At 43.2% G+C, this 15,337-nt stretch overlaps 1 protein-coding gene across 12 annotated transcripts in view; it reads left to right on the top strand.

Moving 5' to 3' along the window:
- Nucleotides 1-15,337, top strand: part of COL22A1 (collagen type XXII alpha 1 chain) — a 325,807-nt gene that overhangs the window by 104,018 nt on the left and 206,452 nt on the right. For 11 of the 12 annotated variants that reach the window (XR_001745487.2, XM_017013150.3, XM_011516886.4 and 8 more), the window contains 3 exons: nucleotides 2,212-2,256; nucleotides 7,090-7,152; nucleotides 13,167-13,205. Coding sequence is in view for 11 of the 12 variants with exons in the window: in XM_017013150.3 (XP_016868639.1) it covers nucleotides 2,212-2,256; nucleotides 7,090-7,152; nucleotides 13,167-13,205 (147 nt within the window). In the remaining variant the exon portion in view is untranslated. The remainder of the gene's footprint in view (nucleotides 1-2,211; nucleotides 2,257-7,089; nucleotides 7,153-13,166; nucleotides 13,206-15,337) is intronic. The other variant, XM_011516884.3, reaches the window with a different exon arrangement.

The raw sequence follows: 15,337 nt of genomic DNA, 5'->3' as shown, positions 1-15,337 counted from the left end.
AATTATCACATTAGATTGAAAATGTCTCCTTATCGTTACTTCCATAAAATCATAAGTTCTGGATAGCAGAGATTGGATCTTTCCATGTCTGTATTTTCAGCTACTAATACATAGCCTGGCACAGAGAAAGCCAATAAATAAGAGCTGAGTTGATATATAAGTCAATCAGGGTATGAAGACATGGATGGACAGATACGTGGATGGATAGATGAGAGGGAGGGATAAAGAAATACACCCTCTCACTTTGGGAGGCCGAGGCAGGCAGATCACGAGATCAGGAGTTTGAGACCAGCCTGGCCAACATGGTGAAACCCTGTCTCTACTAAAATACAAAAATTAGCCAGGCGTGGTGGTGTGTGCCTATAATCCCAGCTACTCAGGAGGCTGAGGCAGGAGAATCTCTTGAACCCGGGAGGCGGAGGTTGCAGTGAGCCGAGATCGTGCTATTGCACTCCAGCCTGGGCAATAGAGTGAGACTCTGTCTCAAAAAAAAAAGAAAAAGAAAAAAAGAGAAGAAGAAAAAGAAATACACCCTCTCCTCCTTTAGGCAGGACAAGGTCTGGCTGTTCCAGCCCCATGCCTAGGATGGCATGATTCAATAATGACTTAATCACTCCTTCATTCCTTCTTCTAAAGTCTAACCATAGACATTAAGCATCTGCTATGTGCTGTGTACTATGCTGTACACTGAGGTTTTAAGACAAATAGAATTTGGCCCTCAAAAATTCTGTAGTCTACACTCTGGTTAGGAAACCAGGAGCTCTGAGGCCTGGCTGAGCCCCAAGGATCTCACAGCAGGCCTGCTAGAGAACTTCCCAAGCACAGGGGGGTGAGAAGGGAGCCTGCTGCTTCCCTCCCCACAAAATAGCCCCGTGGAGCGGAAGAACTTCACAATGACCTCATTAAGCAGGTATCATTTCTGTCTCTTTCATCTTCGTTTCAATAAAAAAAAAAAAATACAACACAGGGGGCCTAGGAAGTCTGAATGTTTTCTCCTAGGAGGCAGAGCTCTGGCCACAGACAGACATTGTTTCCAGTGGTTTAAAACTTCAATTGAGTTTGCAAAACATTTTCATTATTCAGCTAGGTCAACATGATGCCTGGTGTTGCATCTCTATAAGCAAACATCATGGGGAGAGTGAACTGTGTACCAGGCACTCTTGTGGGCGCTAGGTGAGGAGAAACACACAAAAAATTATTTATCTTCGTTTGCCTGAGCAAATGACATCTGTGAATGCATTTAAAAATGTGTGTTCCGGAGCTGGCCAAGTGTGCAACTGTGACCAGAGTGTAGATTGCTGTTAGCACTAAGTGAACACATAAATGGATGTACTGCTGCCTTTTTTAATGTGGTGATATTTATATCTATAAAATTATATTAATCGTGTTGCATTTGTTTTCAGCTTGGCGACATTTACATGTATCGAACACGTACAGATTACATTTGTAAATCCAGTAACCTGATCTTTACACATTGTTAAATTGAAACAAAGTTTACATTTAGAAATAGCTTACATATATGTCCTCTTTTGTATTTTAGTGAACAATAACTACATGAACCGCTAGCAGTCAACATAATTTTCTTTTTAATTGAAGTGATGATATATTCAGGTAAAAATAGCTAGTGAATACCCCTTTGGGTTTTTTAATTTATTTACATATTTAGTTTGGGTATTGACAAACTATATAATTGCATATATTTATGGGGTACAAAGTGATGTCATAATACATGTATACAATGTGGAATGATTGAACTCAGCTAATTGTCATATCCATCCTCTCAAATACTTACCATTCATTATTCCTCCTGTCTGAGGCATGTAGTCTTTGACAACGTGTGTGTATTCCTCCCGCTCCATAGCCTCTGGTAGCCACCACTCTGCCTTCTGCTTCTTGGTGTTTCATGCTTTTACTTACACAAGTAAGCAGAAATGTGGTATTTGTCTTTCTGTGCCTCAGTTTGCTTGTTTCTATCTTGTGTCCACCGGTAGCTGCACCTGGAGGCTGTGCCAAAGCTTCCCGTATAGGTTTGCAGTTCAAGAGCAGAGACTTTCAGCACAGTCAACCAATTTCCTTGCCCAACTCATTGGTCGGCGCTGGGCTTACTAAGCCATTGGCTTCTAAGCATGTGGGGGTGGATTACCATCCAGTGTTGAGAGAAAGGGAAAATTAAAATAGAAACTTACTTTTTTGTTGTCTTTCTTCTTTTAGGGTGAAATGGGAGTTGCTGGCCCCATGGGGCTCCCTGGTCCAAAGGTCAGTACAGGCATGGCAGAGGTGTAGTTTAGAACCTCACTTGTCCTCTCCTTTGCTGTCTATATAAGACAAAAGATGGTGTGTGGGGATGCTGCCTTGCTAATATTTTGCCTCAGAGCTTGTTAAATTAGATGGATAAGAGCAAATGTCATAAAGTCTGAAATCCTGGGAGCCTCTTAACTGCCCAGAACCTCCAGTTCTCAGTCTGCAAATATGAGCAAGAAAGGGTTAGATTCCCAGAGCCCTGGCTCAGGTCTCATTTGCTCCAACACGCTCAACTCTCCATGGTCAATTAACTTTGCAGCAATTGGTTGAAGCTGCTGTATTCCAGAAACTTTTAGGGGTTGGGCTTTTAAGATTCATTAAACTGCATGACCCTTTAAACACATGATTTCCAAATTCACTAATTGCACCAAGCCAGGTAGGGCCCCTCTGTCCTCAGTCACAGAGTGGTCTCATTCCTCTCTGTCACTTCCCAGGGTTATACTGTTTATCAAGGCACAGTGGAGAGTTCACCATCATCCCGTGTTTGAAAGAGGAACTGAGTGTGTGGGTGAAAATCACTGGAGACAGCTGGGCCTCTCCCTCCCCTCCCTTTCTTTCCCTTCTCTCCCTAGCCTTTGCCTCTCTTTATGTGTCACTGTCTCTCTCTGTCTTTATCTCTCACTCTCTGTATCTCTTTTCATCTCTCTCTTTCCTTCCACTCTGTTCTCCCCCCTATTTCTCCTCCTGCATTTCTTAGTTTGAATAATGTATTCAGTGCATCATTAGTGAAACCTGCTGAGGGCCAGGCCCTGAGGTCAATGCTGGGGTTAGAGGATGGTTTAGACAGGACCTGACCGTCACATGCCTGAGTCTCGTGGTGCAGACAGACCAGGGAGTACATGGAATCTCTTTCTTTTTGCCCACTTCTTTCCCATCTTCCATCCTGTTCCACTGAATTGCAGTGACAATGACTGCATCTGCTGTGTGTCAGGCTTGAGTGGGAGCCTACCTGTGCCTCAGACAGCAGGCGCTGTGGGGTAAGGATTACCGTTCCAGTGCCCGCTGCTGTGAGCTCAGGGCTCTGCACGTTGCAGGTGGTCCCTTCTTGTTGAATGAGTGATAGCAAACCCTAAATCAACCCTGCGTGACAAGCAGCATTGGTCCCATTCTCCAGATGAGAAATCAAAAGCCGAAATGGTGAAATGACTCGCCTGAGCGATGCTTTCTTCCTGTCCACCTTTGCTGGGCATTCTTCCCTTCCTATGCGTCCCTCCTTGCTTCCTCTCTTGCCTTGTCTGTTTCTCCTCTCCTCTGCCTTTTCTCTTTCTCTTTTCTCTCTCTCCTGACTGTAGATATTTCCTTGGCATCCCTCCCTCCCTCATCTCACACCCTTCCCTGCTTTGCCCCCACTGTGCTAGGATGTGACACTACGGACACACACACAAACCATCACACACACACACACACCCCATAATACAACATCACACACACACCATCAAACACACCATCTCACACACACCATCACACATATATACACACGTACCATCACACACATACCCCATCACACATACACATGCCATCACACACACACCATCACACACCATTACTTACACCATCACACACACACACCATCACACACACACCACCACACACCATTACCTACACCATCACACACAAACACACCATCACACACCATTACACACACCATCACACACACCACCACACACCATTACCTACACCATCACACACACAACCACACACCATTACCTACACCGTCACACACACACACCATCACACACAATCACACACACTATCACACATACACACCATAATATACCATCACACACACAGTCACACACCGTCACCTACACCATCACACCTACACCATAATACACCATCACACACAAACACACCATCTCACACACACCATCACACATACACACACACCATCAAAAACACACACACCATCACACATACAGACACACACCATCACGCACCATCACCTACACTATCACATACCATTACACACACACACACCATCACATATACACACACCATCACTACACCATCACACACCATCCCACACCATCACAAACACATACCATCACACACAGACACACACCATAACACACCATCACACATACCATCACACACACACACCCTCACACACCGTCCCACACCATCACAAACACATACCATCACACATAGACACACACCATAACACACCATCACACATACCATCACACACATGCCATCACACATATACACACACACCATCACACACACACACCATCACATGCCATCCCATATCATTACACACACACCATCACACACACCACACACCATCCCACACCACCATACACAACCTTTACACACTATCACACATACCATCACATGCCCACACCATCACACACCCATGCACACCATCACACATCCACACCATCACACAGCCACACCATCACACACACACCAAACACCATCCCACACCACCACACACACCATCACACACACACACATGCATGCTCACATCATCAGACACCATCACACACCATCTCACACACATGCACACACACCCCATCACACACCCAATCACACACACACACCACACACACACACCCTCATGCACATACCCATATGCACACACACCCCATCACACATACATACACCATCACACACACACCACCATACACCATTACCTACACTAACACACACACACACCATCACACACCATTACACACACCATCACACACACTATCACACACACACCACCACACACCATTGCCTACACCATCACACACACACCACCACATACCATTACCTACACCATCACACACATGCACCATCACACACACGCCATCACACACACCCCATCACACACCCACCACACACAGCCACCACACACATCACATATACACACACACCATCACATATACATACGTATGCACACACACACCCCATATCACACACACATCCCATCACACACACACACACCACACGCACCTCATCACACACACACCCATCACACACACACCCCTCATCACATACACACCCCTCATCACACACACCATCACACTCTCACACACACCCGCTGCCCCCTCAGCTCCTCTCCCCTGGTGAGTCTTCTCTTTGTGCTGATGGAGAGCGGCTCAGCCCAGGTGCCAGCTGGTCGCTGTGAGGAGGATGGCAGGGGTTTCTGCATCACCGAGCTCCTCTGAGAAGTCACCTCGATTCTCGGCTGTGACGGGAGGAAAGCGCAAACTACCTGGGGTTTCATAGGCCTCTCAGTAGAAGACATTTGTGTGAAGCAAGGGCTGTTTAGTAATGGCTGCCTCTGCTGTGCTTGAGCAGAGCAGGCCCTGGGCCCCACAAGGAGAGCAGAAATGGTGGGAGGAGAAGAGCACTGAAAAGGGCAACTGATGCAGCCACCTGGAGACCTGCCCGGCTCCTGCAGAGCTCACTTGCAATCGTGGTCCTATAGTGTCATCCGTCACATTGTCCCAAACCATGGTTAGGACCCTGAGTCAAAGGCTGGGGTTCCTGGTGGCTCCGTGTCCCTACACAGAGCTCGGGCTCTGTCCACATGCATAGGCTGAGTCTGCCAGGTGCAAGGCCCAGTTGTGATGTGGGAATATAAAAGTGACTGACTGAGAGCCTGGTCCCCAGGACTCATAGGCCAGGGGGAAGGGAGCAGGAAAGAGAGGATTGGGATAGTATGAAGAGAGTCAGGATAGAGGGGCCCAGGAGCTGAGGGGCTGAGAGGGGAGGCCCCATTGCTACCTGGTAGGACCTCAGGACACCTTTCTGCTGACAGCCCTGACCAGCTGGGTCCAGTAGAATAGACAGGAACTGCTCAGGACAAAGGAGGCAGGGAAGGGCATCATAGCCAAAGGGAATAGCATAAGCAAAGTAGCCATGTGTTCTTAGAATATAAAAGATGAGCTGGGAACAAGAGAGATAAAGTTTCAGATCAAGAACAAAGACAAAAGAATAGAATTGAAGGCTCTGTTTCCTGTGCCTACACCTATCTTGGATTGGCTCATGAGATGGCAGGAGATTTAGGTTCCAGTTCAACACTTGGCTTGTGATGAGTTTTTCCTCCCTTGCAGACACAGTTTTTTCCTCTACCTGCTCTCTTTCTCCTCCTGGACAGTTATGAGGGCCCCAGGTACACAGGGATGGACTTGTTATACAAATTGAATGCCCAGGGGACTCTGGTTGACACTTGGAAGTTTTGTTTTATTTTATTTTATTTTATTTTTTTATTATACTTTAAGTTTTAGGGTACATGTGCACATTGTGCAGGTTAGTTACATATGTATACATGTGCCATGCCCGATCTCGTCTGATCTCGGAAGCTAAGCAGGGTCGGGCCTGGTTAGTACTTGGATGGGACACTTGGAAGTTTTCAAAGCACCTTTATGCTCTTAATCTTATGTGCCTGCGTGATGACGTGCCTGTTTATGGAAGAGAAGCCTGAGGCCCAAAGACAGTAATGGTGTGCTCCTGGGAAGTGGCAGAGCTGCTGTTCAAACCTGGAACTTCCACTTCCCCTTCCGAGGCCCTGGTGGTGGGATCAGTGGCAGGCCATTCCCAAGGATGAATGTGCAATGCTTTCATGCACTTGCTTTCCTCAAGAAGTCCGTGGTTCCTGGAATTGTGATGTTGGGAGATGACTTAGATGCTTCCTCCTCTCCAGGGGTGGGACATGTGGCCTCGTTGCAGAAATGGCAAAGATGAAGTCAGCTGCTTCTAGGGAATTGGAGCAAGGTTGGCCGTGAGGGTCCTGTGTGTGCAAGAGCCCTGTCGGGAAACCTAATCTGATGCTTGTCTCTGGTCTCAACCCCTCAGGGAGACATAGGAGCCATTGGGCCGGTTGGCGCTCCTGGACCTAAGGGAGAGAAAGGTGATGTGGTGAGTAGATGGCTGCTCCTCTACATGGCTGAACCTCAGGGCGGGCGTGGGGGACCCAGGGCCCTCCGATCATGCAAATCAGCAAGTGTGGGCTGAATACCTGGCAGGGGCCAGGCACTACTCCCACACCACCCTCAAGATGAAGCCCTAGCTCCTCTCCATGGGCATGGAGGCCTGCTGAATATGGTCTTGGCGGACTCTCTAGCCTTGTCTCTTGCCACCCCATAACCAGAATTCTGTGCTTTGAATCATCACAGTTACTAACCCTCTAATTTGTCATTTTGTTGTGCCCTTCCTGACTCTGGCCATTACACAGGCTCTTTCCTCTGCCAAGAATAATGCTTCCTTCTCCCCACCCCTGTTTTCTCTTCCCCATGCCTTCCTGCTTGGCTCATGAGTTCTCATCATTCCTACTCAACTGTGTCTAATTCTCCAAGACATCACTCCAAAACCCAGCTCTGTGTTCCCACAGCACCTCCTCCATCCCAGCATCAGAGGACTCCCAGGTGTCCTGATCTGTGATTTATAGTCACAGAGTTTCCAGCACCTGGCCTAGCATGAATTGTATTCATGAATCTTTCAGCTGATGAGTGAATGCAATTAATGATGGGTCAGGAAAGAATTGCAGAGATGAAGTCACAGTTCAGGGTGGCCCTCAGGAGCTGAATGGCTGAGAAGTGAATTCCGGCTTCACCAAGATACTTAACCTTTCTATCCTTAGTTTTCTCATCTGTAAAATGGGGATAATAAAATAACGTATTCAGTAGCATTATGAAGATTAAATAAATTGATGCATGTAAATGGTTTAGAACAGTAGTGAGTGCAGTCAGTCCCTGTCCTGGTGGAAGCACTAACCTCTGCCCTCCTGCATAGAATCATGTAGCATCAACAGCACAAGTTTGGTGTCAAATGGGCCTCAGTTATTGTCCTTGGCTGCAGCCTTTATTAGCCGTGTGACCTTGGGCAGGTTTCTTTCTTTCCTTTTTTTTTTGAGATAAAGTCTTGCTCTTGTCACCCAGGCTGGAGTACAGTGGCATGATCTTTGCTCACTGCAACCTCCGCCTCCCAAGTTCAAGCGCTTCTCCTGCCTCAGTCTCCCGAATAGCTGGGATTACTGTGTGTGTGCCACCATGCCCAGCTAATTTTTGTATTTTTATTAGAGATGGAGTTTCACCACGTTGGCCAGGCTGGTCTCAAACTCCTGACCTCAGGTACGCCTCGGCCTCCCTAATTGCTGGGGTAAAGCCTCATTTACACATTAGCAAAATGAGGAGTATAACAACTACTTGGTTTACAAAATGCCTGGCCCATAGTGGGTGATCAGTGAATGACCATTGTCTTTTTTGATGTGTGTGATTATAATTAGTTCCTTCTGTGTTCTCAGTGCTCAGGAGGAAACCCAGGAAACAAGCCTCTTCCCTAGAAGAATTAGCATGGCAAATGCAATTCCCTCAGCACCCCACATTGTTGCCCCCTCATGCGTAGTGATGCCATCTACTCTTGGCACGTGCATCCTATGGAGTCTAACCTTTGCTCCATGGAACAACTTTTGACATAGTCTCATCACGTCTCTAATGGGAATGACACTGGTTTCTCAGGCTCGAATGACTTGCCCTCAGTCATAGAGGCTGGATGTGGCAGAGACAGAATTTACACCTGCATCTGTTTTAATCTGGGTCTTGTGCTCACTTGGCTGTGCTTCACCTTCACCTACACATGCATATCTACCTCCTTTGTGTAGGTAGGAAGCACCTGTTGTGTGCAGAAAGACATGGAAATAAGGAGAGCTGGTCACATTTACCAGCACTCACTGCACTGCTGGCTCTGCATTACATGCTTCACAGACTTGGGGCTCACTTAACTCTCACATCAGCTCGGTGACGTGAGGCCTAGTGAAAGGCCCACCTTACAGATGAGCAAACTGAAGCTCAGAGAAGAGTGGTAACTCATACACATGTGGTTTTTTAGGAACTCACTTGTCAGGCAGTAGGTGTAGGAAATGCCAGGTCCATTCCTCTCCTCCATGTCTGGGACAAGACCCACTTTAGGACACGTGCTGTCACTTGTAGCTGGGTTCAAAGGAAGGGAGATTGGGAGGACATTCTGAATTCAGAGAAACCACCAGAATCAGCCAGAGAACAAACATGGTTGTACTCTGGAGCTCTGAACTCTGGGAAGCGGTCCATCGCATAATTATGATCATTATTGCCTGCCTGATATCATCAGCAGCTCTATTGAGGCCAAATAGCACTGTGATTGAGGAAGCAGCACTAGCATCAGGCAGCCTACATTCAAATTTTGGTTCCACAACCTACTAGCTTCATGAACTGAAGAAGTCGCTAGAACTTTCTGAGCTTCACTTTTCACATTTGTGAGACAGATATAAAAATAATATCTGTAGTGGTTCTACTTCTGAAATGGCAACATGAGGAACTCTGTGAATCTACTCCCCCCAAAAAGATAATACCTGGTGAAATTCCAACATTTTTCACCTCCTGCGTCTGGAGTTCCAGAGCCTAAATTCTTGGCAGATGCAGCCAAGGGATAGGGCTCGCTTCCTCTCCCCAACCCCCATTCACAGGGTGGAGGTGCAACCTCAGGCATGACAAGCCAAGAATGTTGGGATTCTGATCAACCCTTTCCAAGCTCAGTCATACAGTGGAGGCTCCCCAGTGAAGGATGCAAGCTGAGAAAAGCAGAGGCTACTGCTCCTTCCCAGCCAGGGCACCGTTCCAAGAGAAGAGGGCCATGGTCCCAGCTCCCAGCTCCCAGTTCCAGAGCAGGGATGCAGATATTTAGCCCAGGGTACAATCCTTAGGAACGAAGAACTCTGAAGCTCTCCCCAAAGGCACTGACTTTGAAACAGAATGTGGAGAAGTATAAGTGTAAGAGTTCTCTAGAAACAAAGGAGATGATGGTGGTAAGAAATTAAGAGGAGTGTGGTACTCTATAGTAAACCACAACTTTACCAAAGCTAGTTTACCAGAAAGAACCAGGGGGAAAACACCACTAAGAAGACTGCTCCTGGCATCAGAAAGAAACCTCAATGACTGCCCACAACAGCTACCCATGCAAAGGGGACCTGATTCAGTTTGATCAGACTGTAGAGCAATGAATGCCATGTATAGCATTGCAGAAAATAGTAAAGGGATCATTTGGAAAGTAATGGAACCTAAGAGCTGGATTGAATGTCAGCAGAGGCAGACAGTTTGACCGAGAAATCAAGAAAGAGACTTTCAAAACGAGTCTTGTTAAAACCATCGTCATCCTGGGGTGATTATGTACAGGTCCAAGGCCATGCCCTCTGAAAATTGGCCTCAGAGATGAACACTGGGGAAGGGGGATAGACTTAATTAAAATAATCTAGCCAAGTCAGTGAGCAAATAAACAAGAAAAGAACAAAAACAATTTTTGGTAAGGGAAGTGTCAATATCCAGGATTGCTATATTGTCTAAAATGTCCAATTTTCAACAAAAATTATGAGATATGCTAAGAAACAGAAAAATGTGACATAAACCGAAAAAGGCAGCAGACAAGAGAAACTGCCTGAGAGAGGATACAAATATCGGATTTAACAGACAAAGCCTTCCAAGCAATCATTATAATTATGATCAAAGAACTAAAGGAAATTATTCTGATGTAAGCAAAAGAAGGCATAATGACATATTTCATCAAATACAGAATATCAATAAAGAGTTAGAAATTATAAAGAACCAAATGTAAGTTCTGGGGTTTAAAATTATAATAAATGAAATAGAAAAAACTAGAGGGGCTCAAAAGAAAGATCAGAATTCTTGAAGATAGATCAGTAGAGATGATGTAATCTGAAGAACAGAGAAAAAATAATGAAAAATAGACAGATTATTGGAGAAATGTAGGGGTTCATAAAGTGCATGAATCTGCACCTACTGGGAATTAAAGCAGAAGAGGAGAGAAAGGAGCAGAAAAGTATTCAAACAAATAATGGCTGAAGGCATCTCAGATTTTATGAAAAGCAGTAGTCTGCATATTCAACATGCTCAGTGAACCCCAATTAAGATAAACACAAAAGAGATACACACTTACAAACATTATAGTAAAAATGCCAAAAACCAAAGAAAATTGAAAGTAGCAAGAGAAAAAAATGACTCATTATTTACAAGGAAACTCCAATAAAATTAACAACTGACTTGTCATCAGAAATGATTGAGGCTAGAAGGCACAGGGATGGCAAGTTAGGTATAACAATACATTACAACCATGTATGGTTGGTGTTAACAAACACGCATGTAATACGCATAAAAATAATAGCACAAAAAGAGGGAAGAAGGGATAGAGCTAAGAAGGAGTATGTTTCTATGTCTAACTGGAAGTAAGTTTTTATAAATCTAGAGTAGACCCTATTAAGTTATTATGCATATAAGAAACTCTAGAGCACCCTCTAAGAAAATAACTCCAAAATATACAGTTAAAAATATCATGAAAGTAGTGTAAATGTTACACTAGAAAGTACTCAATTCAAAAAAGATCAGTAAAGGAGCAATAAAGGAACAAAAGTGGGACAGGAGACCTGTAGAAAACAAAAACTAATATGGCATATATAAATCTAATTATATAATAATATATGTGAATATACTACATGAACCAACTAAAAAGCAGAAATTTTAAGAAAGTTTATAATAACAAGATCAAACTATATCCTGTCTATAGAAGACATACTTTAGATTCAAAGATACAACCTATTTGTACAACAACAAATTTGTTGTACAAATAGGTTGTATCTTTTGTATTCAAAGAGACAAATAGGTTTCACAAGACACAGATAGGTTATATCTTTTGTATTCAAAGAGACAAATAGGTTTCAATAGGTTGAAAATAAAAGGATGGAAAATAAACATCTTGAAAATAAAAAACAGAAAACTGGGGTGACTGTACTAATATTAGACAAAATAGACTTTAAACCAAAAAAATCAATAAAGGGAGACATTTTATAATAAAAAATTATTTCTTAAAAATATAGCAATTATAAACATATATGCACCTAACAAAACCCCAGAATACATGAAGCAAAAACTGACAGAATTTAAAGGAGGAATGAAAAACCAATCAACAATAGTTAGAGACTTCAATACCTCCTTTTCAATAATGGGTAGAACAACTAGGAATGTGGAGAAATTGGAATCTTCATGGATTGCTTGCATAATATGGTGCAGTTGCTTTGGAAAACAGCCTTGCAGCCCTTAGGTTAAAGACAGAGTTACCATATGACCCAGCAATTCAATTCTACTTTTAGGAATATACCCCTCAAAAATGCAAAGATATGTTTACACAAAAACTTTCACAAAAATGTTTATAGCAGCGTTATTTACAATAGCCAAAAGTAGAAAACCCAAATGTCTGTCACCTGAAGAAAATGTATGTCATATGCGTACAATGTCATATCATTTTGCAATAAAATGAAGTACTTATACATGGTCTGACATGGATTAACCTTGGAAAGACTTTGCTGAGTGAAATAAGCCAATCATAAAAGGCCACATATTATATGATTCCATTTATATAAAAAATGTACAGAAGAGACAAATCTATAGAAACAGAAAACAGATTAATGTTTTCCTAGAGCTAGAGTAGAGGAAGTGTGGAGTCATTGCTAATAGATATGGGTTGTTTCTGAGGTGATAAAAATATTCTAAAATTGTTTGTGGGGATTTTGTTGCACAACTTTATACTAAAAATCATTGAATTGTACATTTTAAGTAGGTGAATTATATGGTATGCAAATTATATTTCAATGAAACTGTTATGGAAACAAAGAATAGTAACTATAATATTGAGTTATTGGAAACATTAAGTGAGATGATACTCATGAGAATGCACACTCAGTTAACAATAGTCACCATTTCTTTTAGTGGCTACTGGGCAGAGCTGATGAGAAAATATCTAATCCTTTCAAATCTCGGGATGATGTTGCCATTTGCAATGTCATGCCATGGAGATGCTCTGTAGTGAATCTTTGCCTTCTTTCATTTTTCTAGGGCATAGGACCTTTTGGCCAAGGGGAAAAGGGTGAAAAGGTAAGCATCTTCCTTTTATCACACTCCTCCAAGGGAATGGGACAGAGGACTTAGGTTTGGGGGAGGTGTGTGCTACTGTTATGTTGCCTGGAAAGAATTCGAGTGGGGGAAAAGAGGTGTCCTGGGCTGTGTAACTGGCCTCAATGTGTGTCCTCCATGGCTTGGGTGGTTGAAGCATGTACTGTACTCAGCAGAAAGAGAGAAGGTGGAGACAGAAAATGGTAAAATGGTGGTTGAGAATTGAGTAGGACACATATATCTTGGGGAATTCCAGGCATATTCTGTTGGAAATGTTGACGTTTGAACTATACCCGAGAAGTGGAAATCTGGGGGCAGGTCCCAATTAAGATAAACACAAAGAGATACACTTACAAACATCATAGTAAAAATGCCAAAAACCAAAAAAAAAAAAAAAAAAAAAAAAAAAAAGGAAAGTAGCAAGCAAGAGAAAAAAATTACTCATCATTTACAAGGAAACCCCAATAAGATTGGAGGTAAAATAAAGGACATCAGAAGAATTTGTGGGAAAAATAAAGATGTTCTCCCCAGCTATGCATGTTGCACCTTCTTTTACCTGCAGTAAAATATGCACAGGCTTGACCAATCCTGGGAAATATGGGATTCCTCCTAAAGAAGAAATTACTCTTAAGATGTTAGCCTATAAGGATAAATAGAAAGCAGAGAGCCACTAAAAATGCCATTTTCTACTCATACGAGCTATTTAAAAAATGAAAGAAAAAAGAAACAAAAAATTATCGTTTTCTTGGAGAGGCAGCCACAAGACTTTACAGTGCAAATGCCCGTTGATACTTTCACTGGAGTACAGGCACGCGTGGACTCAAAACATAGTGCTGTTGGATCCTGAGAGGTCATTCATCGCTCAGAGGGGGTCACATTAGTCCCTTGCATAGGGCTGGTTATGTAACACATGTAACACTCCATTAAGTTACAGTAGAAACAGCTCTCCTGTGGCCAGCTCATTCTCTCCCTGTAGGCACTCTTACACATCTAGCTCTCCTCTAAGGAGATAAATCAAGGATATGCACAAGTACATATCCATGTGTAATTTATAAGTGAGACTAGAAATGACACAATGCTGTGTGGTGGGCAAAATACATTATTGTATACCTCAATAATGCAACAGTATTTGATGATGCAAAATGACATTTAGGAGAAGAACTAATGACCTAGAAAATGCAGTCAATATTCTGTTCATTTTTAAAGCATCTTGCAAAATGTGTATACAATATGACACCAGCTCTGTGTGTGTGTGTGTGTGTGTGTGTGTGTCTGAAAGAGAGAGAGGAGAGACAGAGAAATTAATGATGGAGACAAATACCTATTATTAACCACTGGCTGTCTGTGGGTGAAAAAGTTATGAGGATGTTTATTTTCTCCCTCACATTTCTTTGTGTCATTCTTTATTTCACAATGAGCTCCTCCATTAAAAGCATAGGCACACATGTAAATTGACTACCTCACAAGAATGAAAAGCAGTTTGGGTGTAGCACAACACACAGCATAACTTAAGTGGTACGACCAGGCAGATGTAGTTCATGTCTCCATTCCGCCACTCTCTGGCTCTGCCATCAGTTTTGAGCCTCCATCTCCCGACCTAAAAATCTCCTGCCGCTTTCCATGACTTCTCTGTGACTTAAAAGCACAGCACCAGGAACCAAATGCTCAAATTCAGTAGCTACTTTCTTGTTTTACACTTTTTTTTTTAAATGAGTTTCATTTAATTGTGGTAAGGACACTCACAACATGAGATCCACCCTCCTAACAAACTTTTAAGTGTGCAGTACAGTACTGTTGATCATAGGCACGGTGTGGCACAGCAGATCCCTAGAATGCATTCGTTTTGCTTAACTGAGATTTTTTGCCCATTAATTGGCATCTCCCCATTTCCTCTCCCCCAACCCCTGGAAGCTACTTTTCTACTCTTTAATTCTAGGAATTTGACTATTTTAGGTACTTCATATGTGGAATTATGTAGTATTTGTCTTCCTGCATCTGGCTTATTTCAGTTAGCATAATGTCCTCCAGATTCATTCATGTTGTCAAAAATGACAGAGTTTCCTTCTTTTTAAAGGCTGAATACCATTCGGTTGGGTATTAAAAATAGAGCTACT

This window comes from Homo sapiens, chromosome 8 (genome assembly GCF_000001405.40).
Source record: "Homo sapiens chromosome 8, GRCh38.p14 Primary Assembly".
Taxonomy (NCBI): Eukaryota; Metazoa; Chordata; class Mammalia; order Primates; family Hominidae; genus Homo; species Homo sapiens.
This window is presented reverse-complemented; position numbering and strand designations above follow the sequence as displayed.